The 27,120-nt window shown below is 43.4% G+C and overlaps 1 protein-coding gene and 1 long non-coding RNA gene across 12 annotated transcripts in view, besides 2 other annotated features; one reads left to right on the top strand and one right to left on the bottom strand.

The window, feature by feature from the left end:
- Nucleotides 1-24,724, top strand: part of LOC105370372 (uncharacterized) — a 97,399-nt gene extending 72,675 nt beyond the window's left edge. For all 3 annotated transcript variants that reach the window (XR_944294.2, XR_944292.2, XR_001750036.1), the window contains 3 exons: nt 12,068-12,285; nt 24,397-24,455; nt 24,596-24,724. This is a non-coding gene — a long non-coding RNA (uncharacterized LOC105370372). The remainder of the gene's footprint in view (nt 1-12,067; nt 12,286-24,396; nt 24,456-24,595) is intronic.
- Nucleotides 1-27,107, bottom strand: part of SPACA7 (sperm acrosome associated 7) — a 58,335-nt gene extending 31,228 nt beyond the window's left edge. For 2 of the 9 annotated variants that reach the window (XM_011537466.2, NM_145248.5), the window contains exons 1-5: nt 26,983-27,107; nt 10,385-10,441; nt 5,324-5,413; nt 4,289-4,396; nt 2,298-2,393 (exon numbers count right to left, since the gene is read on the bottom strand). In XM_011537466.2, coding sequence (XP_011535768.2) covers nt 2,298-2,393; nt 4,289-4,396; nt 5,324-5,413; nt 10,385-10,441; nt 26,983-27,076 — 445 coding nt within the window. In that variant the 5' untranslated portion in view covers nt 27,077-27,107. Of the gene's footprint in view, nt 1-2,297; nt 2,394-4,288; nt 4,397-5,323; nt 5,414-10,384; nt 10,442-16,065; nt 16,227-24,730; nt 24,820-26,982 lie in introns of all 9 variants that reach the window. The other 7 variants (XM_011537467.3, XM_024449318.2, XM_011537468.3 and 4 more) reach the window with 6 other exon arrangements.
- Nucleotides 11,234-11,764: an enhancer, noted in NCBI's record as "NANOG-H3K4me1 hESC enhancer chr13:113046012-113046542 (GRCh37/hg19 assembly coordinates)". NCBI's record gives its function as "activates a minimal SCP1, AML or CMV promoter by ChIP-STARR-seq in naive H9 embryonic stem cells {active_cell/tissue: H9 hESC(naive)}" and the evidence as "EXISTENCE:reporter gene assay evidence [ECO:0000049][PMID:30033119]".
- Nucleotides 24,456-25,655: an enhancer, noted in NCBI's record as "CDK7 strongly-dependent group 2 enhancer chr13:113032121-113033320 (GRCh37/hg19 assembly coordinates)". NCBI's record gives its function as "activates an origin of replication core promoter dependent on BRD2, BRD4, P300/CBP, MED14 and CDK7 cofactors, with strong dependence on CDK7, by STARR-seq in HCT116 cells {active_cell/tissue: HCT116}" and the evidence as "EXISTENCE:reporter gene assay evidence [ECO:0000049][PMID:35650434]".
- Nucleotides 27,108-27,120: the final 13 nt, after the last annotated feature.

The raw sequence follows: 27,120 nt of genomic DNA, 5'->3' as shown, positions 1-27,120 counted from the left end.
ACCTGTTTCCCAAAAACCTATGGAAATTAAAAAAATCCCTGGATTTCAGAAAAAACGATAAACCAGACAGATCACTGGCTTACTTGATCAAGAAGAAAATGATTAAGCATAAATTTACAAAACAAGAAATCATAAAGGGGAAATAACAATGGAAACAAGTAAGTTTTTTTAAAATCAGGAGATGATTTAAAGATCTCTATTCAAATACATTTGAAAACCAAGAAGAAGTGGATAACTTCCTAGGGAAATATAGATGGCTAAATTGACCCCATTGATTAAGAAACCTGAAGAATCACTTTTCCTAGAAGAAATAAAGTTATTAAGGAACTACCCCAGAAAAAGCACCAGGAAGAGATGGTTTCACAGGGATTTCTCATAAATTTTAAAAGACAAAATGCTTCTGATGCTCTAAAGAACCAAAAAGGAAAGAAAAATTTCTAATTTTTATTATAAATTTTTTATTGTAACATCAGTATTTCAACCTGATAAAGATAGGTTTAAAAAAAACCCCAACCATAGACTAGAGTCATTTGTGTATTTGGATGCAAAAATATGAAATAAAATATTGGCAAGTTGAATCTAATACCATTCTAAGAATATAATCAACATGACCAAATGGAATTTATTTTAGAAATGCAAGGTTGGTTCAGTATTAGGAAACTCATTAATATCATTCACTATATTTAATAGATCTAAAGAAAAAAACTATGGGCTCCAAAAATGATAAAAAAGACTTTGACAAAACATAAAATGGTTGATGGATGCTTTCCTTACATGTTCAAATGTGTGTGCCTCTGTTCCAAAGCCAGAATCCTACTTACTGGATAAACATTATAGGCATTTCTATGAAGGCCATGAACAAGGCAAGAATGCCCACTCACTCCACTACTATTAAACATTATCCTGGATATATCAGTCAATGCAATTAGGCAAGGGACATCAATGAGATGCATAAAAATTGGTAAAGAAGAAGAAAACCATTTCTATTTAACAGATGATAATACAGCAGATCTGGAAAACCCTAGATAATCAATGATAAAGCTAACTCAAACAAGAAAATAATTCAGTAAGATAGCAGGATAAAATTAACCTATAGAAATCAAGGCATTCATACAAAAGACCAGTTAAAGTACACAATGATAGATAAAATCTTGCTTCTAATAGCAAGAAAGTAGACTGAATACTTAGGAATAAGCTTATCATGACAGTATAACACCTATACAAGGAAGACTTAAAAATATTCCTGAAAGATAGGAAATGACATTGAACAAACAGAAAGACATTACTTATTCTTAGATAGATCCACTCAACATTGTAAAACTGCCAGTTATTTTCTAAATTACTTTACAAATGTAAAGCAATCCCAATAAAAACATAAACTCAAGGAAAGGAAATTAGACATGTTACCAAAAATATAATCAGGGAAACATGGAAAAAGAAAAGCTAAAAAAACTAAAAGAGGGAAGTGTGTCCCAGAGGTTAAAATACACTCTGAATAACACACTGTGGTGCTGGCCCCTTAGTAGAGGACTGTGCTGCATGGCCCAGACAGGACAGTCACATACAGAAAAACTTTGTGTGTAATACGTGTGGCTTTGCAAATCATGGGACAAAGATGGACTTTTAAAAAAATGGTTCAGGGATAACTGGGTAGCCATTCATAAAAATATAAAATTAGGAACACCTCACACCATGCTCAGAGATAAACTCCAAATGGATCCAAGAGCTAATGTAGCAGATGAAGTCCTATAAATACTGGAGGAAAACAAATTCTTCTTTAGCCTCAGTGTGGAGAAAGACTTTCTAACTCAGAAAGTCAAAAGCTAAAGGCAGTCAGAGATTGATAATTTTGGCTACACAAAAATTGACTTTTTTTGCATGAAAAATTATAAACGTAGTCAAAAGTCAACTAACAAACCCCAACAATTATCCATCTATCATCTATCTGTCTATCTATCATCTCTCTCTCTCTAAAAGTTTGTTCTTAAAATATAAACAGCTTTGAGAAATGAGGCTAAAAGACCAAAAACCTAAAGGAAAATGGGAAATTGTAATGAATGCAACATTTACAAAAGTGGTATAAAAATGGCCCTTAAACATATGAGATGTTTAAACTCACTCATAATGAGACAATTGCAAACAAAAGCAGTACTGAAATACCACTTCTCACCATGATGTTGGTGGAAACCTAATGGCATAACAAGGCATACTGGCGAGGCTGGAGGGAGACAGTCACCTCACACACTCATGCCTCCGTCTCTCCCACAGAGCTCTCAGTGTGGGCAGGGCACATTTACCTTTACTGGAAACACTCTTCTCACTGCCAGGAGACACCTGTGGCCCACGATAATTCTCAGAAGGATCGCCATGGAGATTTGCATTAGCATTGGCTTCTTTAATGACAAATATGGAAAAAATGGGGAAAATGTCCTTGATTACACACTTATAAGCACTTTGGTCATTTATTTATTTAAACATGCTAAGTTGAGATGCTAATATCATTTTCAAGTTTTATTTGAAAATATGTTTTGGAAACTCAATATGTGAATACAGAGCCAGGCCTCATCTGACTATTAAAACTACATATTCACTCCTCCACACGTCCTTTGACCCAACATCCCAATGCTAAGAATTGACCCTGGAGATAATTCCTGACAATATGAAAATACCTGTGCTATAGGCTGCTCACTGCAGCTGTGTTTGAAATGGCAAAATATTGCAAACAATGGAAAGATACATACAAAAAATAATGACTGCAGAACTGGGGTAGGAAGAAAGGAGTGCGGGCAGGAAAGGAGGATTTGCACGGATCTGTGATTTGCACAGAAGTGTTTCCTAGCTCTTTCTGTGGAGAGGGCCTGGAAGAAATGCTGTGCCATTGAACTTAGCAAGCATCCAGTTCTTGGCTCACAATCAGTAACGGTGTTAGTGTTTTATAACCCACAGACTATAGTAATCCCTAGTAGCCCATGTAGACAGTAATAAGCAACCGAATACATAAACAGGGGAGGAGGGGCAGCTCTTTCTTAAAGCAGAATCCCAATTAATAAATGGAGAAGCAATGGCAGAAAGAGAAACTCGCCAGTTGGCAAACACCACACTGACCACCAGGCAGACAAATTTGGAGGTATTCATATTAATTTTAAATAAAATCTTATTCCTGTTTAAGTCCTGAAAAAATCGAGTTCAATCTTTCCCAACTCCAGAGTCTGTCTTATTGGGGGGACTCTTTGGGGTAATGGATTGGGATGCAGATTCCTGGGCTCCTACAGAAATGCTTGGCTCCTGGCACACCATCAGATACTGGAGCTGTGACCTGGTCCTGTGTGTGGGGAACACCACAGATGTCCTACATGTGTGTCCCAGTGATATGGTTTGGCTCTGTGTCCCCAACCAAATCTCATGTCTAAATGTAATCCCCAGTGTTAGGGGAGGGACCTGGTGGGAGATGATTGGATCATGGGGGCAGAGTTGCTCCTTGCTGTTCTCATGATAGTGAGTTCTCATGAGGTCTGGTTATAAGTGTGTGGCACCTCCCCCTTCACTCTCTCTCTCCTGTCTCCATGTGAAGATGTACTTGCTTCCTCTAGGGTCTTCTGCCATGATTGTAAGTTTCCTGAGGGCTCCCAGCCATGCCTCATGCACAGCCTGCAGAACCATGAACAAATTAAACCTCTTTTCTTTATAAATTACTCAGCCTCAGGTAGTTCGTTGTAGCAGTGTGAGAATGGACTCATATACCTGGGTATATATATGTGCCCTTTCTGGTTTTGAATCTCCAGGGTAAAGAGGAGGTATTTTGCCCCTCCATGGGGTCCAAGTATCTTATCCTCTGAGCCTTTGCACACTGATTTTTTTCCCAGCAGACTCATCTGTTGGAGGGAGGCTTTTCCCTACTTCTGGGGGACCCCCCTGGGGGCACTCTGGCTCTCTCTGCACCTGCCCTGTGAAGGAGAAGTGACTTAGCTGAAGCTTTGGGAGAGGGGGCCAGGCATTGTGGCAGCACCTGCCTCCCTGTCTTGGCATCTGCCTGCCCATGAGACATTTCTGCTGTGCTTCCCTGGGCTGTGTTTTTTCCAGGGTCGGCCCCACAGCAGGGGGTGAGGAAGCTGGGGGTCCCTCAGCCCCGACAGAGACTGGGAGATCTGCCCAACCAGGGGAAGTGGGCACATTCTCCCACCAAGGGTTTATCCTCCAGGAAGGAGATGTTTCCGCCTGCGTCTGCCTGCCTCCTACCTCTCCCATTACAGCTGGACTTGGGAAGGGGTAATTACTGGGTTGCATTTACCATCATTGGAAATTTTGACCTCAATGCCAGGAGAGAATTGTAAATTCTCTAATAATTCATGGTAATTCTCAGAACCACCAGCTTGATAATTCTCATCAATACCAGCATCTTCAATGAAGAACATGGAAAAAAATGGGGAAAAGTTTTCTTGATTACACAGGTATAAACATTTTTGGCCCATGCTTTATTTTACAATATAAGGTTGGGATGTTAATACAGTTTGCAAGCTCTATGTGGAAATGTGCGTTGGTAAGTGAAGGTGTAAACAGAGTCAGGTGCCCTCTGACTCCCTTGAACCAACAGTGTGGACCTTGGCAGATGGCAGGTGAACCAATCCTAGGAACTGGAATTTACATTCTGGGTGCAAGATTTCAAGAGTGCTGAACTTTCCTGCTGCCGAATACACTTTCATGCACTGTGTGGGGATTTCTGATTCCCAGTTCTCTCCTTGGCAACTGTTGATTCAGTACTCTGTCTTGGTTCTAAATGTGCTGTTCTATTTCCTTGCATATGTCTTTGACCATGTGAAGCTGCACTTGGGGAAGGCCATTCTTTGTGTTGGTTCATGACTCACTGTGTGGCTTGGGCAAGTCATTTGCTAGACCTTGGTTTTACCTTCTGTCAAATGGGGTGATGATAACTGCCCTGCTCTCTCAGAAGCCTTGGGTGAGCGTGAAGTGAGAGCATGGGCGTGTGTGGGAGGAACTGTAAAGTGTTGGTTAGTGCAGGGTTCTCAGGTTCTTGTGCCCTGTGTTCCTGCAGTGGCTCCCGAGGGCGAGAACGTGCCTGAACACGCACTCCAGAGATCCCAGAGTAAAGGGAATTAACCCTGCCAGTCTAGGGTTGACTTCCTCTGTCTCGGGAAGCTGTAGAAATGGTTTTAGATGCCATATTGTTCACATCTCCATGTGCCCTTGCCCCAGAAATAGCTGGTCTTAATGCTCAAATTATAGGGTCACGTATTCCATACCACAGACCTCCAGGAATAAGGGCAATTAGAGGGTTAGAAAGGGGTGTGCTTGCTTTTCTCCTTACGTAACGGTGTTGATAATGTTGATGCTGTACTTGGCATTTCGCTCGGTGTTGTTTTATTCAGATCTAAAATCTCCTGGACCAGAATTTCATCTTGGGAGAAGCACACAAGATCACGTTAGAGTCGGCCCTGCAGGGCTGGCCCTTGGCTCCTGTCCCCTAAGGCCATCTGTACACACAGTGAATGTACACACAGTTCCTGTACAAACAGGAACTCCGGGAACCCAGGGGATGTGGGACTTGACTTTCGAAAGAACCTTCTCTGGGTGGGCAGGCCGCTGCCTCCCTCAATAATTTCAGAAAAACTGAGACCATTTGGACATTTTGGACACTGAACATTGCCCCCCAAAGGTACAAGGCTGGACGCTTGGCCCACACGTGGTCCTAAGTCTCTTTCCTGCCCTGGGTCCCTCTGTCCCATCTCTGAGGCTCTCCCAAAGCTGCCCTCCGTGTGTGAGTGAGCGTCGCTCCTGATCTCTGTGTCAACACAGCCGCATTTTCTTCTTTTACGTCCCTATGGGTTCTCCTAGGGAGATTTTACCATGAGAGCCTTGAGCTTTGTGTCTGACAGACCCGGAAAAAACACACGGGCTCTGCTCCCACCAGAATGTGATCTTGGACAAGCGTCCTCACGGCTCTGAGCTTTGGTTTCCTGTCTGTAAAATGGGGGTGTGTATTTGCCTGTGGGCTTTCCTGAGGGTCCAATAAAGCAGTGTATGCAGAAGGTGCTCAGCACGGAGCCTGGGCCATGGCCAGGTGTTGTGGCAACCGAGAGTCACCGCTGTCTCTGCAGCACAGTCACCAGGCCAGGCTGCAGTGCTGGGCTGGGCAGTGGGTCCTGGTTTGCTGGGGCCCTCTGGGTTTAGCCCAGAAAGTCCCTCAAGAAGAAGCTCCTCAGCCCCAGGCAAAGCGGGCGTCTGGTCACCCCAGGACCAGCTCATGCAGAATTCGAGGGTAAAGGGGAAGAGGCTGAAAATGCCACTGGAAACGAAGATGTCACCAATACGACCGATAAAAAAGCTTTGTCCTGGGCTCTTGGTTTCTCACCCAGCAGCCGCGCTGTCCCTCTTTCTCACTCACAGAGCTGGGTTTTGGCAATGTGTGCCCCCAGTGAGGCCCCCTGCAGCCGGGTGGGCTACAGGCCTGTAAGGTAGGAGGAGTCTACCAGCTCTGCGAGGAATTTGCTCCTCCTGATAAAAGGGGAACCAGTGTCCAGGCCTGCACCCCCGCCTCCTGCCCTGGGAGTGGACGAGGTGTCTGGCACTGTGGACACCATCCTTGATCATGAGGCACGAGCTTGAGGAGAGGCCAGGACAACCTCAGGGACATGGCCTTGTATTGCGGAGCTGCCGGACCAGAGCTGCGTGCCACCTGCCTCTTAGCCGCGGGTGCCCCAGGATCCCAGCCAAGGGGCTGGGCGCTGCCACTCAGGCTCTGTCCTCTGGGGCCAGTGATTGGACAGAAGCACCAATCTTAGGAATTCCAAGTTCCTAAACAGTCATGGTGTCCAGTGAGATAGGGGTCTTGGAGAAGAGTGGATATGCATTTGAATGGCAAGCATTTACTGGGCACTCTTCTGAACCAGACACTGCACAGGCACTGGGGGGCCAAGGATGGCCCAGCCTCAGTCCCTGGTCTCTACCCCATTCCAGCCAGCCATGTCCAGGAGGCAGCATTCTACAGCCGTGACCAGGCACAGCAGGTCAGCAGTAACAGAGCTTCCACCAAGGGCAGATGGGCTCCCAGGGCAAATGGGGGCAGGCAGAGGATAGGATTCAGCTGACCAGCCCTAAGAAGTGAGCCCTCCTGGGGCACTGTCTGAACTTCCTGGCCAACTCTGGCTTCGGTTGCCCCATTGTTACTGGGGATCACCCCCGTCCATGGTGGATGGGCTGTCTCTGCAACTCTCCATCTCTAACAACTGTACCCACAGTCCCTGACCTGTCCCAGTGTGACCCAGTCCACTCCATGCCCGAAGCCGGGAGTGGCCTCCTGGGGACCCAAACTCCTCAAGTTGCAGACACCCTGGGATTCCCTGAGGCGGGTGGATGGTGGCCCAGCTGTGAGGAGGCGCGTTCCTGCTCGGAGAGCAGTCATGGCTTTGGGGGCCAAAGAGAGGCGGGGGGCCGAGCCACCCCAGGGTGAGCTGCCCAGGGCGAAAGGCTGCCTTGACCCTTCCACGGGCCTCCCTACCCTCGGGGAGATTGGTCAGGGCTAGAAAAACGCTTTAGGTAGAGATGAAGCCAGCAGGTGGAACAAGGTTAGGAAGCTCTTTGTTTTAAAACCAAGTCTAACTGCTGATGGTTGAATTTTTTGAGAGAGGAGAAGCTGAAATACAATGACCAGACCATCCATCAAAACAGCTGTGGCCAGGCTGGGCGCAGTGGCTCACTCCTGTAATCCCAGCGCACTGGGAGGCCGAGGTGGGCAGATCACCTGAGGTTAGGACTTTGAGACCAGCCTGGCCAATATGGTGAAACCCTGTCCTACTAAAAATGCAAAAATTAGCTGGGTGAGGTGGTGCACATCTGAAATCCCAGCTACTCGGGAGGCTGAGGCAGGAGAATCGCTTGAACCCAGAAGGTGGAGGTTGCAGTGAGTTGAGATCTCGCCACTGCACTTCACCCTGGGTGGCAAGAGTGTGAGACTCCATCTCAAAAAAAACAAAAAACAGAAACAGAGCCAACCACACCTGCAGCAGCCAGTCCGGGGGGCTGGCCTGCTCCGCAGTAAGACCTGCAGGAAGTCAGACCTCCTCTAGCAACGACTCAGGCAGCCGAAGCGCAACCCCTGGACCAGCCGGCCCCAGAGGGCCAGGAATGCATCCATCATCGACAGCTCCTCTGGCTTTTGTCCTCGCTTCCAATTCGGAGCCGACCAGAGAAAGCCACACATGCTCCCTCACCAACCCCTCACCGCCCGTCTGATGAGCCATCCCCAGCACACCCAGCTGCAGCCTGCACGGGACCTGGGCTTCCTTTGCCTTAGTGAGGCCCCATCCCCTGCCTGACTCAGAGGCTCTGAAATTGCACGTGATGGTGACTCGGAGGCTTTGACATTGCACGTGATGGTGGTGACTGCCCTCCCACAGCAAGCTCTGGACAGAGAGTCTCGGCCTGGCCTGCCTGGGTGGGCTTCGCTGACCTCCACAGGGATTTGAATTCTCACTGTCAATGCTTTCAGCTTTCTACCTAGAAGAAATCTGGGGGTGTGGATGGGGGTAAGAGCTGCTGCTTCCTTCTAGGTTTAGTTGGTCAGGACCCAGGAAAAATATCAGAAACGCCAGCCACTCTTTCCTCTTCCAGAATCCTTTTCTGAGGCCACTGTTTCTCTGGGGGTGGCTGAGACACTGGCTGGAGCAGGTGCTGGTCTCAGGACTAAAACTCTCAGAATCTGGCACCCGCCAGCTTCACTAGGAAAGTGAGTCCAGTCACAGCCATTCCTTGACCTTGGGGAGTCTAACTCCTGCCTGGGGCAGTTCCCTTGAGTACCCAGAAAGTGGACGGGGCGGCAGGAGCGAGAATGGGAACATCCATTCATTCACTGGAGCGCTCACTCATCCATCCACCTAACCCATCAAACACGCAGGCAGGCAGAGCTTTTCCCAGGCCTCTCCCACCCAGATGTGGAAAGGGAGCAAAGCCTGACTTCTGACAGCGACAGCTCCTGGAAAGGGCCCAGCACCTGGGGGCCCTGCGTTCCCACGGGAGCCCCTGTTCGAGGCCGTGCAGCCTTCACAGCCGCAGTCCCGGGCCCTGCCGGGTGGAAGGTGGCCCCATCCTCTACCCCGACCCCACTCCACAGGCAATGCTGGCAGAGAGGTCCTGGGAGGTGACTGTTTCCCAAGGGCATCGATGTGAGCAGGGGTCAGGACTGCATGCTCTGAGTCCCAGCATTCTGGGCCTCAGTTTCCCCACATGTAAAACGAGAGGTCAGAGCAGAAGTGCAGGCACTGGCTAAGCGCTCACACCCTGGAGCGCGGCTGTCCACGTGGAAATGGCCGTGAAGGCAAAGGACACATGGAACTGTGGAGAGCCAGTGTGATGGAAAGACTGAAACATCTCACTAGTAATTTGACACTGATCCCATGTTGAAATCATCACGTGAAATAAAATATTATTACAATGAGTTTCATCTGTGTCTTTTTTTTTTTTTTTGAGACAGAGTCTCGCTCTGTTGCCAGGCAGGAGGGCAATGCTGCGATCTCAGCTTACTGCAACCTCTGCCTCCAGGGTTCAAGGGATTCTCCTGTCTCAGCCTCTCAAGTGGTTGGGACTACAGGCACACATCACCACGCCCAGCTAATTTTTGTATTTTTAGTAGAGGCGGGGTTTCACCATGTTGGCCAGGATGGTCTCTGTCTCTTGACCTCGTGATCTGCCCGCTTTGGCCTCATCTGTGTCTTTTTAATGTGGCCACTAGACAATGAAAAGCACATCTTCGGCTCATGCTGTGTTTCTATTGGACGGCCCTGGCCCAGGGCAGCGGTTCTCAGCCGGCTGTACTTTAGCATCACCTGCAGAGCCCTAGAGAAGCACAGAGGCACCAGGCTCAGCCAAACCAGCACGGCCTGCATCCCCGGGGTGAGGCCAGGGGGTCTGTAGTTTCCACCATCTTTCCAGGGGGCTGGCAGGGCTGAGGCGGTGGAGGAGGGGACGGCTCAGCCATGGGGCCTCTCAGGTGCACAGGAATCGGTGGCATCAGGTTGAATGCGGTGCTGGTGCTGGAGGGCTGGGCCCGGCTTGCCGCTGGGCGTTTCTAACAAGCTCCCCAAACCAGATGATGCAGACGCTGAGGGTCCTTGGACCTCACTTTGAGAAGCAAGGCTCCCACGCACTTTTTAGGTGTAATGGTCTAAAATTCTGTCTTCCTTAATTTCTTGAGAGTTTGACTCTTAGATGTCAGCAGTAAAGCTATGGGCCATTGGTATATGATTCTAGCCCCAAACCAATCAGTTCCCTCCACTGTCTGCAGTTGGTACCAGGTTATCTGGGAAACAGCCACAGACAACCATCCAGCCCTCTTCACGTACAGGCCAGAGGTTGATAGGAGGGGCTTCCTTACCTAATAATTCAGACATATCCTCCTGTTTTGAACTGAATGGTATTTCAGTAGGTGAACCTAGAAGGAAATAAAAACCCTACAGTTTAACAATGTTCATTGAATTTGCATATTTTTCTCTTTAAATGGATATGGTTTTGTGGGTGCCCACCAGCCCCCTCTAGAGGAAGGAGCCCTGCCCAAGTTCCAGTCTCTCCTGCGGGTGATGAGAGATGGCCCCAGGAAAGTTCTCTGGGACTTGGCTTTCTTGTCTGGAAAATGCGGAGAAACAGCCACCTCCGGGGTGGCTGTGAGGATGGAGGACAATTGTCCAGGAGCTCTGAGCTGAGCCTGCCCTCCTGGTCCCTAGAATCACCCCTTGAGAGGTCAAGACGACATCCCGGTCGCAAGGATGACTGGGCTCACCCAGCTGCTTTGAGGTAAGCAGAGTAAGAGGGCATGTTCCTCTTGTGAAAGCAGCATTTGGACCTCCTTCGTGAAAGGCGCCCACAGTGCATGCACCTGGAGGCTTAGAAACATGTTCTGGGGAAATGGGAAACATTGTGCAATGCTGTGGCTGCATCATGAAGACCTGGCTTCATGGCTCTGTTTTAGGAGGGGCAGGACTCAGAGAGATGGGCCACCCCCCTTTCTCCTCCTTCATAAGCAAAGTGATTTCAGGGTGGTCCCATCTGCAGATAAGAGGTGGGGTCATGTGGGTGAAATGCCGAGGTCTGGAATATGGGTTGTCCACAGGCCCCGTGGCCTCCTGACCTGTGGCCTCGGCTGCCTGACTGATGGGAGCTGACTGTGCTGAGTGACCCTGAGAGTGGGTGGCGGTTCTGAGCACTGCTTTCTCCTTGTTAGCCCCTTCCCAGTAGTTCCCTGCTTCTGCCATTCACAGTTTTTCTTTATTGGAGGTGTGGCGTCTCAGCGTCCTGGGGCATTGCTTTGGCTCAAGGTCAAGGTCAGCTTCTTCCTCCAGCCCCGAGGTTGGGCTCAGCAGGGCCACACACCTTCCCTTTCAGAGTGCACAGAGCTTTCCAGTGGTGGCTTCTAGGATCTGAAGTTCCAACACTAAACCAGTGACAAAGCTGATTTCCAAATGGCTTTAATGACAGACAATCTGCATACCAATCGACTCGTCTGCGCACATGCAGGCTCAGAACAATGCGGGAAAATATGCAAAAAGGTCTGAGATGTGATGGCAATTGCTTCCCAGTATGCTGACCTTCGGTAAACGAAACAAACAAAGTACAGTTCTCTTTGGATGAGACATTAATGATCATTAAGAATGGGTACAGCTGCATCGTGCAAGTGCTTTGTTAAAAATATTCTTTTCATTTTGTGTCTGTCCCGTAATTATAATGGAAGTATTGTGCAAGTCAGCCAGTAAGCATGTGGAGTAAAATATTTGGGTTTTATAACATCCGTGCGGTTTTTAAAGTGCATTGTCAAGTGGAGTGGCTTTGCCATATCCTTCATGTGTCACCTCTGACTTCAGCCTCACGGTTTTAAGGTGCCGCACGCCATGTAATTGTAAGAATCCACTGCTCTTTCTCGATATTTACATCGTGCACACGCTGGCCTCCGTGAAAGGGTTCCCTGTGGAGTTCTGAGACTTCATTCTGGTTAATTTGGGGAAAACAGCACTGCACCCTTCTCAATCACTAGGACCACGTTAACTGCTCTCCTCTCTCCCTAAAGGTCCAACATCTCAAGAAAGCCACAAAACATGGTCAACTCAATTTCTGAGGCAAATGCCTGAAGTGCCCACTGAGTCATTAAGGACCAAGGAGAGTAAGGAAACCCAATGTTCCTCGTGAGAAAGTGATTTAGAAATGATCCCTTAATTGGTCTTCAAGCTGGGGAAGACCTTGGTCACCTGTTTCAACTGTTTGGATGAGGAAATCAGATCTTGGGAGGTAAGGACTAAACTCTGACCTTTTTTCTCTCTTACCCATTCCTTACACAACTGTGACCTGAATGCTTTCCTAAGGAGTAAGAAGAAGCCAGCTCTGGAAAACAAGAAACGAAAGACCTATTCCTTTGTCTCCTTGAGCCAATCATCCAAGTCTGTGACCAGACTCTCCTCCCTTTTGTGGTTTAAACAGTGCAGCACCCCCAGCATTCCTTCCTGGTGAGAGACCACTGGCCATGGAGGCTCTGGCCAGTCCATGTAGGACACGCAGTGAGGGTTTCCTGTCTTCTGCTTCACCTTTGGATGTCAGAGGCTGATATGGTTTGGATTTATGTCCCCACTCAAATCTGAGGTTGAATTGTAATTCCTAGTGTTGGAGGAGGAGCCTGGTGGGAGGTGACTGAATCACGGGGGCTGGCGTCCCCCTTGCTGTTCTCGTGATAGTGAGTTTTCCTGAGATTTCGTTGTTTACAAGTGCGTAGCACCTGCCCACGCTCTCTGTTCCTCCTGCTGGCCATGTAAGATGTACTTGCTTCTCCTTTGCCTTCTGCCATGATTGTAAGTTTCCTGAGGCCTCCCCAGAAGCAGAAGCCTATACAGTTCACAGAATAGTGAACCAATTAAACCTCTTTTCTTCATAAATTACCCAGTCTCAGGTATGTCTCTATAGCAGTGCAAGAACTGACTAATACAGAGGGCCAAAAATGCTGCTCTCGGATTGTGCTAACACTGCCATTTTTTGAACACATGCCCATGAAAAGGAATGGAGCTCAATTGCACGTGGGCAAGGTTCTTCCGTTTACTGAAACCCCTTCTAAAACCCTCCTGACCTGCCCCACTGTGGCACTGGCTCTGCTCCTCTCCTTTTTGCCGTGACTTTGCAAACCATACAGAGTGGCCATGGCCCAGATCTCCCCACACTGGCTCCCAGAGTTCTCTCCTAGATGTAGTCTCTGCACTCGAGTTCTCTTCTCACCATCTAATCTCCGTTAGCCCTCTTGCACCACTGGATGTGTCCCCCTGGGCCTCCACTCCTCCCCCCACCCCCATTACACCCTTCTCTTCCCACTCAGCCCCTTGACTCCCAACAGTCCCTGGAGCTTTATGGACCCAGACAATCCCAGATCAACTACCTGATCTGAGGCTGAAAAGGAAAAAGACCAACTGGAAACAGGTGGGGCATTTTATCTACTCAGTGAAGGCTTTGATATATCCAGATGGCTGCTTCAATCACAGCCTCTGTGAGATTAAATAATATCAGGGGAAAAGAAAGGCTTGAAACTCCCCTTCACAAATGCTGGTTAAGAAAGAAAAATCTTTAGCCCTTATTGAGTGGGTAACCTCAACATATCCCGTTTTTATCAGAAACATAATTCAGATAAAAATATAGAGTGGAGATAAACCAGTGAGTTTTGTGTTACTGTGTTGCCGGACTCATGGCTGAAATTTAAGAATGAAGCCATACAATCACTGTTTTCATGTGTCTGTCTGTATGTGTATGTACCTATGTTACATATATGTGATATTTTTCTACCTCTGGATGGTATTGCTGAAGTAATTATAAAATTCCTTAAAGGAGTTCTATTCAAATTGGCTTAGAGAAAAAAGATGTGCTTGATTAAATATTCCCAGGACTCCCAGAAACAGAGGAGCTAACCCAAATGTTTTTTAAGTTTACATTACTAGGATGGTTGATATATAAAGCTAGTTTGAGACTGTTTGTTAAATAAAGACAGTTTGTCTTTGGAATTGTCAGCTATAGATATAATGCAGACATAATTTTATTCTACTTGGGTTACTAGCCAAATAAACTTAAAAATAGTTAACAGGGAAATAACTGGAGATGATGGTAGCTTTATTTGGTGTTATAGTGAAGCCACCTTTGTAAAATTATGACTGAGACAGTGAAAGAGATTTAACAGGCTCCATTATGCTTTTAACCTCCAAGCTGTCCTTGCTTATTCCTGAGCATAGGCCGAACTAACTATGGGAGAAGGTTCATAGTTTATAGTATAAACAAAGACGGTAACAGCCCTTTCCCAAAGCAAACTTCTTCTTGCTTGGGGACTAGACTGCCTTTGTAAGACTAACATTAGCCATAAGATTAGAAATTATGGTTTAGGAGTCATGCAGCTGGAGGCTACCAGATTCTGACCCTCCCTAAACTGCTCCTAAGATCAGTGCTTGAGATATTTTGCAGAACCTGCACTTGATGGATCAGCTGGCACCACCCAGATGGATAAAGTGGCTCATCTGATCTTGTGGCCCCCACCCAGGAACTGACTTAGTGCAAAAAGACAGCTTTGACTCCCTATGATTTGATCTCTGACCAATCAGCACTCCTGGCTCACTGGCTTCCCCCCACCCACCAAGTTATCTTTAAAAACTCTGTTTCCCGAATGCTTGGGGAGACTGATTTGAGTAATAAAAAAACTCTGGTCTCCTGCACAGCTGGCTCTGGGTGAATTACTCTTTCTCTATTGCATTTCCCCTGTTGTGACGAATTGGCTCTGCCTAGGCAGGGGGCAAAGTGAACCCCTTGGGTGGTTACAAATTTGGGGGCTTGTACAATACTGCCTTTTTGGATATCCACCCATGGTTCAGTGGCCCCCCTTCAACAATGGATCCAGAAGCCAGCCAGCCCAAGCAGCTTCCTAGTTCTCTTGGACTAGGGGCTGACTCTGGTACTCTCTCTACTGGCGGGGCACTGCCAACCCAATTTGCATGGATTTAATTGCAATGGAGAAGTAGGTCTGGGGAAACGTCCCTTAACTGTAGCCCTATCAGAGTGTCTGTCTGTAGCCCCATGGTAGGGTATCTGTCTGTAGCCCCACTGTAGTGTGTCTGTTTGGCTCCTCGGGGGTCTCGGCTGGCTCTTTCTAACTAGTAGGAAGATTCCTGGTTTGGGAGACTTCTCACTCAGGAAGATTTTGAGGAGGTTTCCCAGATGGAGAATAGGAGGATAGTTTGAAAGGGATACTCTTGGAGTTCTTAGTTGGGGATCTGATTTGGAAGGCCTTCTGTCCATCTCATCTTAATGTGTGTTTGTGTATGTGGAAGGGATCTCCGAAGGGGTTGCTGATGGAAGTCCAGCAGGCCTAACTCAGAACCCTCCTTATTTGTCTGGTCACATTTGATGAGCCCTAGAGAAGGCTCAATAGGCCTGTCTTCGCCTTGCCCAGAGATCTCATTGTGAATTACCATTCAGAGGTTGTCCATCACCACCTGGAGTGGATCAAAGAAAACAGGGACCAATGGGAAAATGTTTGAGCTTTGCCAGGTTGACATTGGGTGCTGAACGAGGTGACCAATGTTTGTTTTCTTATGTGTGTTTTGCTGGCATAGAAAATGTTAATTCCGTTCTCCTTGCAGCCCACTGGGCAGCATCTTGCAAATTAAGAATCTTGCCTATGGTTCCATAAAACAGGAAATGGTGATTTTCTCTTGTAAAGTGGCTTGAACCCCACAGCTATGGTGCAGTGAGCAGGGTCATCAGAAACCACTCCGTTCTTCTGAAATCTGCATAGAAAGGGAGCCCGCAAGCCTGGTATGCCGATAAAAAGGATAAGAAATTCTTACCAGCCAAATTTCTGGTCTCTCTCTTTCTCTGAGTAAATGGTAAACTATTTGTCTCTCTGCAAGGGTTTAATTAATGGAGAAAGGATTTGTGAAACTAGTCTTAGGTGGTAGCAAATCTGGTGTACTTTGTGCTAAGAATTTGTCTTTCTGTGTTCTGTAATGGAGAAAGAAGTATCACAGGATAGAATGTGGGTTTAGGACTCACTTTCAAGCCTGCTTTTCAAGCCAGACTGGCAGGCTGGTCAGTTACAAACTTTGCTGTGGGTCCCTGAAACCAATACTGGATGAAATTTTTCTGTCTTGTTTTGTGTCCTTAAGAGCTTAACCTTGTGATCATGTGCAGTTACTTTCCCTTGGTTTCACCATCTAGAAGACAGGAATTAGGGGATTCATGTCCTAGTTAGCCCTAAACATTTTCTTAAGCAGTTAAAAGCCTTTGCGAGCTTGAAACTGGTTCTCTAGACTCCTTCTGGAAAGAGCAATAGAAACTGCTCAATGCTGTAACTCAGTAGCTAAGACTTTGCTTTTTGACAATGGTGGCCTGGGTTCTAGTCTTGGTTTCTGTAATGATTCCTTTCTGATTTCTTATTTATGTAATTTTGCCATTTATTGAGGTTTTTTCCCTCATAGATAGCTTCTGATTTCCTCTCTTGAATTTTCCTTTCTCTGAACTTGTGGAGATTCTAAATCTTGTAAAGAAAGAAACTTCTTACCATGTTTTTGAAACACCTAGGAGGTTACCTTTGGTAAAGTTCAGAAGCTAAAAATATTAGCCACTTGGCCTGGCTAAAGTCAGGTAATAAGAGATTTGAAGGGATTTCTTTTTTAAAGAGCACCATGGTTAAAAGTCAGGTTAATTAAAAGTGGATAAACAAGGTATAGATGTATTTAAAAGGCCTTTATGTTTTTCTCTTCTTGGATCTTGTTTTTCTGGAAAAAGTTTATTTTTCTTCTCAGTCAACTGTACTATTTGTCTCCATTTTTTTTTGTCTCGTCACCCTTAAGGCACACATGAGAGGCCCTAAGATAACTTCTGGTAGCCGGGGACTCCTTGGGAAAAACAGAGGAGGCACCACAGACTCTGTTTTGCAAACAAACACCAAAAAACAAACAAAAAAAGACTCTGTTTTCCTCATGAAACCCCAGGAATTAAAAGTGGATAAATCCCTCTCAAAATAAAAGGCTATGTTCTGTTTTGCATTGTGTCATCTGACAGTTTTGAGTTTTGGGGGTATCAGAAACTACTTCGCAGTATAAAAAAGCTTTGGTGTGTAATAACTAGGTAGGAAATCTACTTTAAGGGGTGGCTAATAGTAGTTAAGGAGGAATACTTGACTCTTTGCCTACTTGGATCAGAGATGCATGCTCTTGGGCATCTGGAAGATAGGGAAACATCCCCACCCCCACTGACAGATGGGACTCCCATGGGGGATGGTCTAATTACAACATGGGCTGACTGGCTTTGGGTTGCCTCGCAATAAAATGCGCAGTAGAAGCATTGCACTGTCTTCTCCCGTAGTACTTTTCTCCTTTTGGGGATCCAGTGTTCAGTATAAAATGGCACCCTTAATTTTAGGGATCTGTCTTTGCCATCCAGCTCTGCCTGCTTATTAGGCCCTAGAAGTTTCATGCTTTCCCAGCTCCGTTCCTCCAAGGGCTCCACCCTGAAGCCAGTCATCCAATTAAAAAACTGGCCAATGAAAAATCTTACAAGTGCTGAATCTTTTGTCTGTCTATTTATATGTGTTGTATGCTTGTTTATATATAAAAGCACTCTGATTAATTGACTTAAAAAATAAGCACTTAAATCAAATGTTTTGTCAGAAAAGTAGAAACTTTAATGCATTTTTGTTCACGTGACCAGTAATCTTTTAGAAATAAAAGCAGTTTTAAAAATTATTAGTAAAATAAAATATTTTAAAAATGTAGACATTTGGTCTAAATTAAGGTCAAATATCAGATTTGCTAAATGTTTTAAGGTCAAACTATTTCCTTGACTTTTAAAAATTGTTCAATTTACCTACTTTGAAGCATTAGATTATAGATAAGGCCTGGAGACATGTGGAGAGGCATGCCGCTAGCTATGCTGAAAAGAGTCAGACCTTATCTTCATTTGTGTCTCATGTCCTAGGCTGCACCCCTAGTACATAATTAAAATAGCTTACTTACCAGGTTTTTCACTAAAAATAAAAGTTGCTAAGAATTAACATTATAACATAAAATTAAGATTACTGGAGAAACAGTTTTATATACAAGATGTGTAGGGAACGTGTTTTTGGTAGAAGATTATAAGAAGGCATAGGAATATGGCTTTTGTTAAAGGGAATGCAATTTTGTCTAGTTCAGAGAGTTTTAAAGATTGTCTTAACCTAAAAGAGTAATGGGACAAAACTAAAGGTTTAAGCAAAGTGAAAAGGGTTTGTAAAGGGTTAATCTTATACAAAATTCTGTGGGTTTAAACAAGTTGGCTGAGATTTAATTAGCTTTTTTCTGTAGGCTAAAATATTAAAATCATACTGATGTGGGGCCAGAATTTGGGCCCATGTGTCCGAATAATAGGGTTTTCTTAGAAAATTAATCTGCTCTTTGATGGAAAATTGTAAAGGTTTCTAAAAGTTTATAAAAATCTTACCTTATGGTCAAACTAATTAAAACCTGATAGAGATATAAAATTTTATTTGATAAACTAGCTTCAACATTAAAAATGCACCAATACATACATGAAATTTGGTTTTCTCTTTTGAAGACAAATTTTATGTAATGTTAAAATATAATGAAAGAGTTTTGTTTTCTCCTTTGGGTAAATGACAGGGAAAAAAGGGAGGAGAGAGAAGAGACAAGGTCAGTTAGCCTCATGCTGTCTTTATTGGGTCTTGTTTGGAAAGCTAAGTGTCCTCTATCAGAGTAAAGGTTTTTCTTTTAAGATTTTGAAGTTATCATTTTGGCTAAATAAATGACTTATTATAATGACATGGGATTCTATTTTGTGATATCCAGTGTTTTAAACCTTTGCTATTTGACAAACGTTCCAAAATCAAATTATAAATTTTGTCTATTTCTAACCTAATATTTAAATATTAGGTCCTTTAAAGTCCAGAAATGACATTTGGCTTATTTGGTATAAAAACCATACAGGAAACATTGTCAAATACAAAATGGTGTTTGGCTTTCTTTGGGCTATATTTGTGTAAATGTGTTATTAATATATGTTCCAAAATTATGTAAAACTCCTATAATTCTAATATAACTTAGTATATGTTATCAGTAATAATTTTAATTATTATGTTAAATGACTGTGTGATACAGAGGTAACAAATTTCCTTGTCAACTGTGTCTTTAATAGTGGCTATACTAATTCTTTTGTCATCCACAAACATTTTGTCTTGCTTTAGTCCTTTTCAAAAGGCAGTTTATAATCAAATATAAAACTCTAAGTATAGGTCTCAGATAACTTTAAAAATTATGTTATTGGAATAAAGAAAAAACCCAAACTTTAGAACTCTTATGGAAAACTAATGTATTAAACATTGCTAAACCTTTTGTTTTCCAAGTCAAGATAACTTATTTCTTTAAAGCTATTTGCAACTTTTAACAAGTGAGTAAAATATACTCCTGTGAACAAAATTTACAACATATTTGTTTCTCTCTACCTGATTTCTCCAAAATTTGAAAACTATTTCTAAGTATTCTCAATTTATGGCAGTATAGTTAATTGCATAAGTGCAATAAAAATCTGTTTTCTTTTGTAACAGGACAAAATTGGAGAAATTGGTCATTTTACCAAGGCTTTAACTGGACTGGCATGCTTCTTTAAAGAATCAAAGTTAACTTATAAAGCCAATTAAAGCCCGTTGGGAAATCTGGCCTCATGCCTTGTCCACACAGAGTCCCTGTACAAGGTTCCTGACCTGTGCTAAATAAAAAATGTCACTTTCTAACAGGCCCAGGAACTGCAAGATATCTTGGGACCTCAAGAAAAGAGGAATTTGCTCAACTCATAGGTATTTAAGCTTACAAATCCATGGCTGGGCTCGGCTTTTAAAAAGTCTTATCTAAAATTCTTCATGGAACAAAGTTCCATCAAAGCCCATTAAAATCTAAGTGAAAAATAATTATTCTAGTTGTACTTCATGCAAATAATCAAGCCAAGTACTATAAGAGTAAAGTTTATTTTGTAAACTGTAAATAATTTCTATCATGATTTGTTTTTCTTTAAAAAATAGGGACTGGAGAGAGAAAAATTATGCTTCCAAAAAACCTATAGTACATTGCTGTTAGTGCTTCTTAAGGTTTTTTTGGGCAGTTTAGACTAAATTATAAATTCTTTATGAGTTAGAATCCCCAAACTAATGCTTTTAAATCTTTTTCAGTCTTTCTTTCTTCCTTCTTTCCTTTCTTTCTTTCTTTTCTTTCTTTCTTTCTTTCTTTCTTTCTTTCTTTCTTTCTTTCTTTCTTTCTTTCTTTCTTTCTTTCTTTCTTTTCTTTTCTTTTCTTTTCTTTCTTCTTTCTTTCTTTCTTTTTCTTTCTTTCTCTTTCTGTCTCTTTCTTTCCTTCTGTCTTTCTCTCTCTCTCTCTTTCTTTCTTTCCTTCTGTCTTTCTCTCTCTCTCTTTTTAGACGGAGTTTCACTCTTGTTGCCCAGGCTGGAGTGCAATAGCTCGATCTCAGCTTACTGCAACTGCTGCCTCCCAGGTTCAACTGATTCTCCTGCCTCAGCCTCCCTAGTAGCTGGGATTACAGGCACCTGCCACCATGCCTGGCTAATTTTTTGTGTTTTTAGTAGAGACAGGGTATCACCATGTTGGCCAGGCTGGTCTCGAACTCCTGACCTCAGGTGATCCACCTGCCTCAGTCTCCAAAAGTGCTGGGATTACAGGTGTAAGCCACCGCACCTGGCCTCAAATCTTTGCTTTTAAAATTAAAAATTGTGCTCCTTATCCTAGGACTCATTATTTACCTATAGTATGCTGTTTACTTAAATACTGTACTAAAACTATAGATAAAGGTAATAATGTTTTTACCACACAAGCCTTGGAAGCCCAGCCAGGCCTGCATGTGTCGCCCAGATAGTTGCAAAACGGTTCCACTGTTCTCACCTTGGGGTTCATTCCCATTCCCACTACGTCCCCTGTCAGTGGGAAGAAGCCAGAGCATTGACAGCCTTTTCCCATCTTCACAGCCTGCACCTGAAGATTAAGGTGTTATTGGCCAGGCACGGTGGCTCATGCCTGTAGTCCCAGCACTTTGGGAGGCTGAGGCGGGCGGACCATGAGGTCAAGAAATCGAGAGGCGCCTCTGCACTCCAGTCTGGCAACAGAGTGAGACTCTGTCAAAAACAAAACAAAACAAAACAACAAAAAAGATTAAGGTGCTATAAAACCCAAAGGGAGAGATTGAAACCACGTTTGCAAGATTATGACTGAGACAGTGAAAGAGCTCCAGCTTAACTGACTCCCTCTTGCTTCTAACATCCAATCTGTCCTTGTTTACTCCTGGGCGTAGGCTGAACTAACCTTGGGAGAAACCTAGTTTATAGTTTAAACAAAGACGGTAACAGCTCTTTCCCAAAGCAGTCCTCCTTCTTGCCTGGGGTCTAGATTGCTTTTGTAGGGCTAACATTAGCCCCAAGATTAGAAATTATATGGTTTAGAGTTATGCAGCTGGAGGCCACAAGATTCTGACCTTCTCTAAACTGCTCCTAAGATCAGTGCTTGAGATATTTTGCAGATCCTGCCCTTGATGGATCAGCCGGCACCACCCAGATGGATAAAGTGGCTCATCTGATCTTGTGGCCCCCACCCGGGAACTGACTCAGTGCAAAAAGACAGCTTTGACTCCCTGTGATTTCATCCCTGATCAGTCAGCACTCTTGCCTCACTGGCTTCCCTCCACCCACAAAGTTATCCGTAAAAACTCTGTTTCCCGAATGCCTGGGGAGACTGATTTGAGTAATAATAAAACTCTGGTCTCCTGCACAGCTGGCTCTGCGTGAATTACTCTTTCTCTATCGCAGTTCCCCTGTCTTGAAGAATTGGCTCTGCCTGGGCAGGGGGCAAGTGAACCCCTTGGGCAGTTACAATAGCGTGTCTGCATTTTTTTTTTTTTTTTTGGGGGACAGGGTCTCATTCTGTCAGCCAGGCTGGAGTGCAGGGGTGTGATCATGACTCACTGCAGCCTCGACCTCTTGGGCTCAGGTGATCCTCCCATCTGAGCCTCCCAAGCAGCCAGAACTATAGACACATGCCACCACACCCTGCTAATTTCTGCATTTTTTTTGGTAGAGATGGGGTTTCACCATATTTCCCAGGCTGGTTTTAAATTCCTGGGCTCAAGTGATCCACCAGCTTTAACCTCCCAAAGTGCTGGGATTAGAGGTATGAGCCACTGCACCCAACCTGTGTTTGCCTTTTAAAAACAGTTTCTAAACATCTTTTTGGTGACTCATCACCCTGGCGTCATGATCAGTTAAGTAAAACAAGAGTTTCATTAATAATTTTTAAATAAGATAAGCTATTGAAACACTCAGTACTAAGCAAAGTTTTCTTATTTTATATGATACAGAGAGACTAAATGTATTTGAGTCTGTTAACAAAAGTTGTTTTTGCCACCTTGAAAAATTATGCTGTAGATAAATATATCTCTAAAAATTGTAAGATGGTATAGTCATACAATTTGCTACTTTGTTACAGAATGCTATATGTGACACAATTCACAACTGTCTACTCCTAGTTTTCTCTGTTGAACATTGTAATCAACATAATCAACATGTGTAATTAAAACTATTGGAAATAATGAGGGTGAAGAAAAACAACTTCCTGTGCAAAGTATAAAGGAAAGTAAGATCTGTTTTTGATAAGAAAGCTTATGTGATATGAAGAATGTGTTTTTGTTGACGAAAAAAGTGAGTAATTTTGTCCTACAGTGGTTTAAAATTTGTTTTTTCAGGAAGAGAAAAAACCGGACAAAATGCGTAAATTAGTATGGAAAGATGTAACGAGTCTCTGAGAAAAAAAGAGAGAGAAAAATCTTATGTGGTGAAGATACACTAGCAGTAAATGAATTTTATTATAAGATTTTATAGATGAGCTTTAGTATCAAGAGTGTAGCAATGCAGTACTGGAGTTTGATTTTCTCTGTCTGCTAAAAGGCCAAAGTTTTGTTGAATTATTGGTCTGGTTTTTTTTTTTTTTTTTTTTTTGAGACTGAGTTTTGCTCTTGTTGCCTAGGCTGGAGTGCAATGGCGTGATCTTGGCTCACTGCAACCTCCACTTCCTGGGTCCAAGTGATTCTCCTGCCTCAGCCTCCCAAGTAGCTGGGGTTACAGGCATGCACCACCATGTCTGGCTAATTTTGTAGAGATGGGGTTTCACCATGTTGGTCAGACTGATCTTGAAATACTGACATCAGATTATCCGCCCATGTTGGCCTCCCAAAGTGCTGGGATTACAGGCATGAGCCACCACGCCAGGCCTGGTCTGTTCTTAATAAGAGATTGTAAGAGGTACTTGTTTCTTACCTGTTGAGTAGTCTTACTAGGAAACAAAGATTCTGTGTCTTATCAAATATTTCCTGTGTTTCATGTTTTCTTTATCATGTTTTTGATTACTTAAGAAAACTGAGTCTCCTCAATATTAAAAGAGCTAAATTGTTTTAAAAACCATGCTACTTCCTATATTTTCTTTAAAAATTCTTTACTGTCATTTAACTTAAATGGATAGCTACCATTTCATAGTAACTTATGATCCTATTTAACCAAATATTCAAAACTTTTATAATTTTTGACAACTTCATCCAAGTAAAATTCTAAATGAAGAATTTTGACCTCAAACTAATTTTGAGATTTCCCAGAGGGCCACTAGAAAATCTCAAAGGATTTGTTCTCTCACTTGGTGAAAAGAAAGATGTTAAACTAATTAGCTTTATTTGATACATTAAATTCGTAAAAAGCATTGTCAAATAAGGGATGTTTAACCTTCTTTATATTTGTATGCATATATGTTATAAGTGTTTCAGAAATTGTATTAAATTCCTAGAAATTTTCACTGTCCTTACTGTCCATGATATGTCCTGGTATAAAGTTATGAGTCCTAATTTCCGTTATTGTCTTGTAATGTTGTATGTCACAGAAACAACCAAATTTCCTTGTCAATTGCAGCATAATGAACTCTCATCAGATTTTTAACCATGGCCATTTTATGCATTTTATGTCTTTTGTCATTCAAGACAATTATTGTTTTACTCTGATGCTTTTTTGAAAGCTTTTGCAATCAGCTACAGTCCAAAAATTCTTTGTCTTCAAGGAGATTTTTAGGTAAGACTCTGCCAAGTACTCTGGAGTAAGGTTTCTGACGCCTCTAAGATTGCACTATTAGACTGGACTTTTCCAGAACTCAGGGAGACATTGACGGATTTGTAAACCTGCTAACCCAAGATCAAGTAGAACAAGAATTAATGATGTGGGACTCAATGTGGGGACGATTATAATTTTTCTGAATTTTCTTGGAAATGTTTCTGGTTTTTTAATGTTTTGTTTTCCAGATTTAAAGAACTCTCTGCTTCCGGTTTCTCTTAGGCTACGCATAACGGACAACAATTTGGTAATTACACTTTCATAAACAAAAATGAAGCATTTATATTTTTTGTCCCACCTGATTACTCTAGAATTTGGATATTATGATTTTCAGGACCATACAATTGTTTGCGTAAGTTTAATAAAAATTGATTCTCCTTGCAACAGGACACGATTGGAAACATTGGTCATATTACCAAGGCTTTGACTGGAATGTCATATTTGAGATTGATACATAGAATCAGAGGTGACCAGACAGTTTTTAAAAACTGAGGTTGATTTGATGGAGCTGGAGAAACTGACCTGCTACCTGGCTCACCGGGTCCCCATCCCACAGGTGAGTGAAGAAGGTCATTTGCTGGCAGATCCAGGAACTTTGGGAACCTCGAGACCTTCGGAAGAGAGAAATTCACCCAAGTCTTTAGGTACCACATGTGAAGTCTGATGGTGAGTTTTTGGCTGGGCTTCCTAGCCTCAAAAAGCTTTTAAAAAATCTAATCTGAGATTCCTTGTAAAAAGCTCCAGCAGAGAAAACTCAGTTTATGTGGTCCATTACCATTCTTGCTGCACTTATGTAAATAATCAGACCAAATCTTGTAAGATGTGATATATTTTTGAGACAAGAATAGCATTACTTTGGTTATCTTGATCAAAAAAAGAGGGTGACCATAGAGCCATATTTTATGTTTTAATGAAAAATGGTAGCACACCCTTGTGAGTTATAACCCTGTGTATTCTACTTTTTTTTATCTTTTGATAAACTCCACCTTACTTTCTACTTTGTTATCTACCTGTAAACTGGACTGGATCCTGAAGCCTTTTAGAGTCCTTCAATGTTCCCAGGCTAACATTTCCAGTCTTTCTTCTGCCCTCCTGACTGGGTGTTAGTGAGAACTAAAGCCTGACAACTCAGGCCTTCCGTGGGACCATCTGGAAAGGCTGAAGCTGGACACATCCACGCTCTGCCCCCAGCATAACCATGACTGTGGCTCTGATGGTCATGATGTCACCAAGGACACACCCCCTGCAAACTAGGAAATCCATCCTTGCCCCATCGGCTGAAGATACCTTGAGCCCAAAATCCAGAAATCTTCTCAACAGACTGCCCTCTGGATTCGGAAACTGTGTTTCCAACTATAAATCTTTGTTTTTCTTCTCTTTTTCGTAGACATTCCCCTCATTAAATTCCCGACTACTTGTACCATCCAGCACACATCCTCCACCAGATGAAACATGGACTTATCTTGTTCAAAGAGAAAAGGAATGTCTCTTCTTTCTTGAACAAGAGGAGGGAATGAGAAAGCCTCGCTCCTTGACTTACCTCATGCCAGGCTCCTCTGAGTCTTCTCTTTGACTAGGCCTTGACCCTAGCTTCTGCTTTTGTCTGCTTTTCCCCATGTTTAGTAGGAATCCTGTGAAGTCTTTTAGTGGAAATCCCCTAGTCTTGGCCTGGTCACCCTTGATATCTGATCAAATTCCTCACCCTCCATCTTTGATTATTTTATTGCCTTGGCTTCCTTTCAGGTCTGGCCTCCTGTTTGGCCGAACACAATATACACAATAATTGAACTAGAGGGTGAATACATGGAGGTTCATGATATTCTTCCAAGTTAGAAATTTTCCATAATAAAAAGTTAAAATAAGTAACATATGCAACTCTCTCATGGATGTCTAGATTTTAAAAGGTCTTCAAAGATAGCAGACCTTTGTGTCCTGTTGCAAGGATAATCAATTTTTATTAAACTTATGCAAACAATTGTATGGTCCTGAAAATCATAATATCCAAATTCTAGAGTAATCAGGTGGGACAAAAAATATAAATGCTTCATTTTTGTTTATAAAAGCCCTCTTGGCCTTTGCTGAATCAGTTTAGCAAAGAATTCTCCTACCTTTTAGCAATGTTCATCCACTGACCCACCCTGATCCTTGGCTGCAAATCTCCACTTTCCCTGTATTTGGAGTTGAGCCCACTCTCCACTATTATGAGACACCATGGTAGTAGCCCCCTTTGAATAAAGGCTGCCTGCCCATCTTTAGCAAGCATCACAAATATTTTTTAACGGTATGAGCTGAGATAAAGGCTTTTGGTAATTATGTTAGTCTGATTATGACATTGTAGATAATGCTTTTATCTCTTCGCAAGAAAATGTTTTACATGAGGTGGTAAGGCATCTGGGATGGTGCTAAAATACTCCCCAAACAAGAAAAGTGTGTGTATGTGGTGTGGAGTGTGTATGTGTGTGTGTGTAGAAAAAAACAAAATATGCACAATAATTGAACCTGAGGGTGAATACACGAAGGTTCATGATATTCTTCCCAGTTAGAAATTTTCCATAATAAAAAGTTAAAATAAGTAACATTTGCAACTTTCCTATGGACATCTAGATTTTAAAAAGTCTTCAAAGATAGAAAGACTTTTCAGCTACATTCATTCCCCAAGGAATAAATGGTAAATTCATGTAGGTTGGGAATAAGAGGAACCCATGGGAGAAGAGGCCGCCGCTCCCCACCTGGTTCAGTTCTCTTTCTGCTGAGACATCCCTGTGGGGCCCTACCTGGAATCACGGTTCTCGGCCGGAGCTCAGTTTCTTGCCAACAGCACAGCAGGAGGACAAAGCAGAGGGTCCCGTCTCCTTGGCTCACTGCCATGCTCCCTCCAGCTGAGGGAGAAGGACGTTCTGAAGGTTGACAGT

This window comes from Homo sapiens, chromosome 13, assembly GCF_000001405.40.
Source record: "Homo sapiens chromosome 13, GRCh38.p14 Primary Assembly".
Classification (NCBI taxonomy): domain Eukaryota; kingdom Metazoa; phylum Chordata; class Mammalia; order Primates; family Hominidae; genus Homo; species Homo sapiens.
Note: the sequence above shows the minus strand (reverse complement) of the source record. Positions and strands in the feature narration are given on the sequence as shown.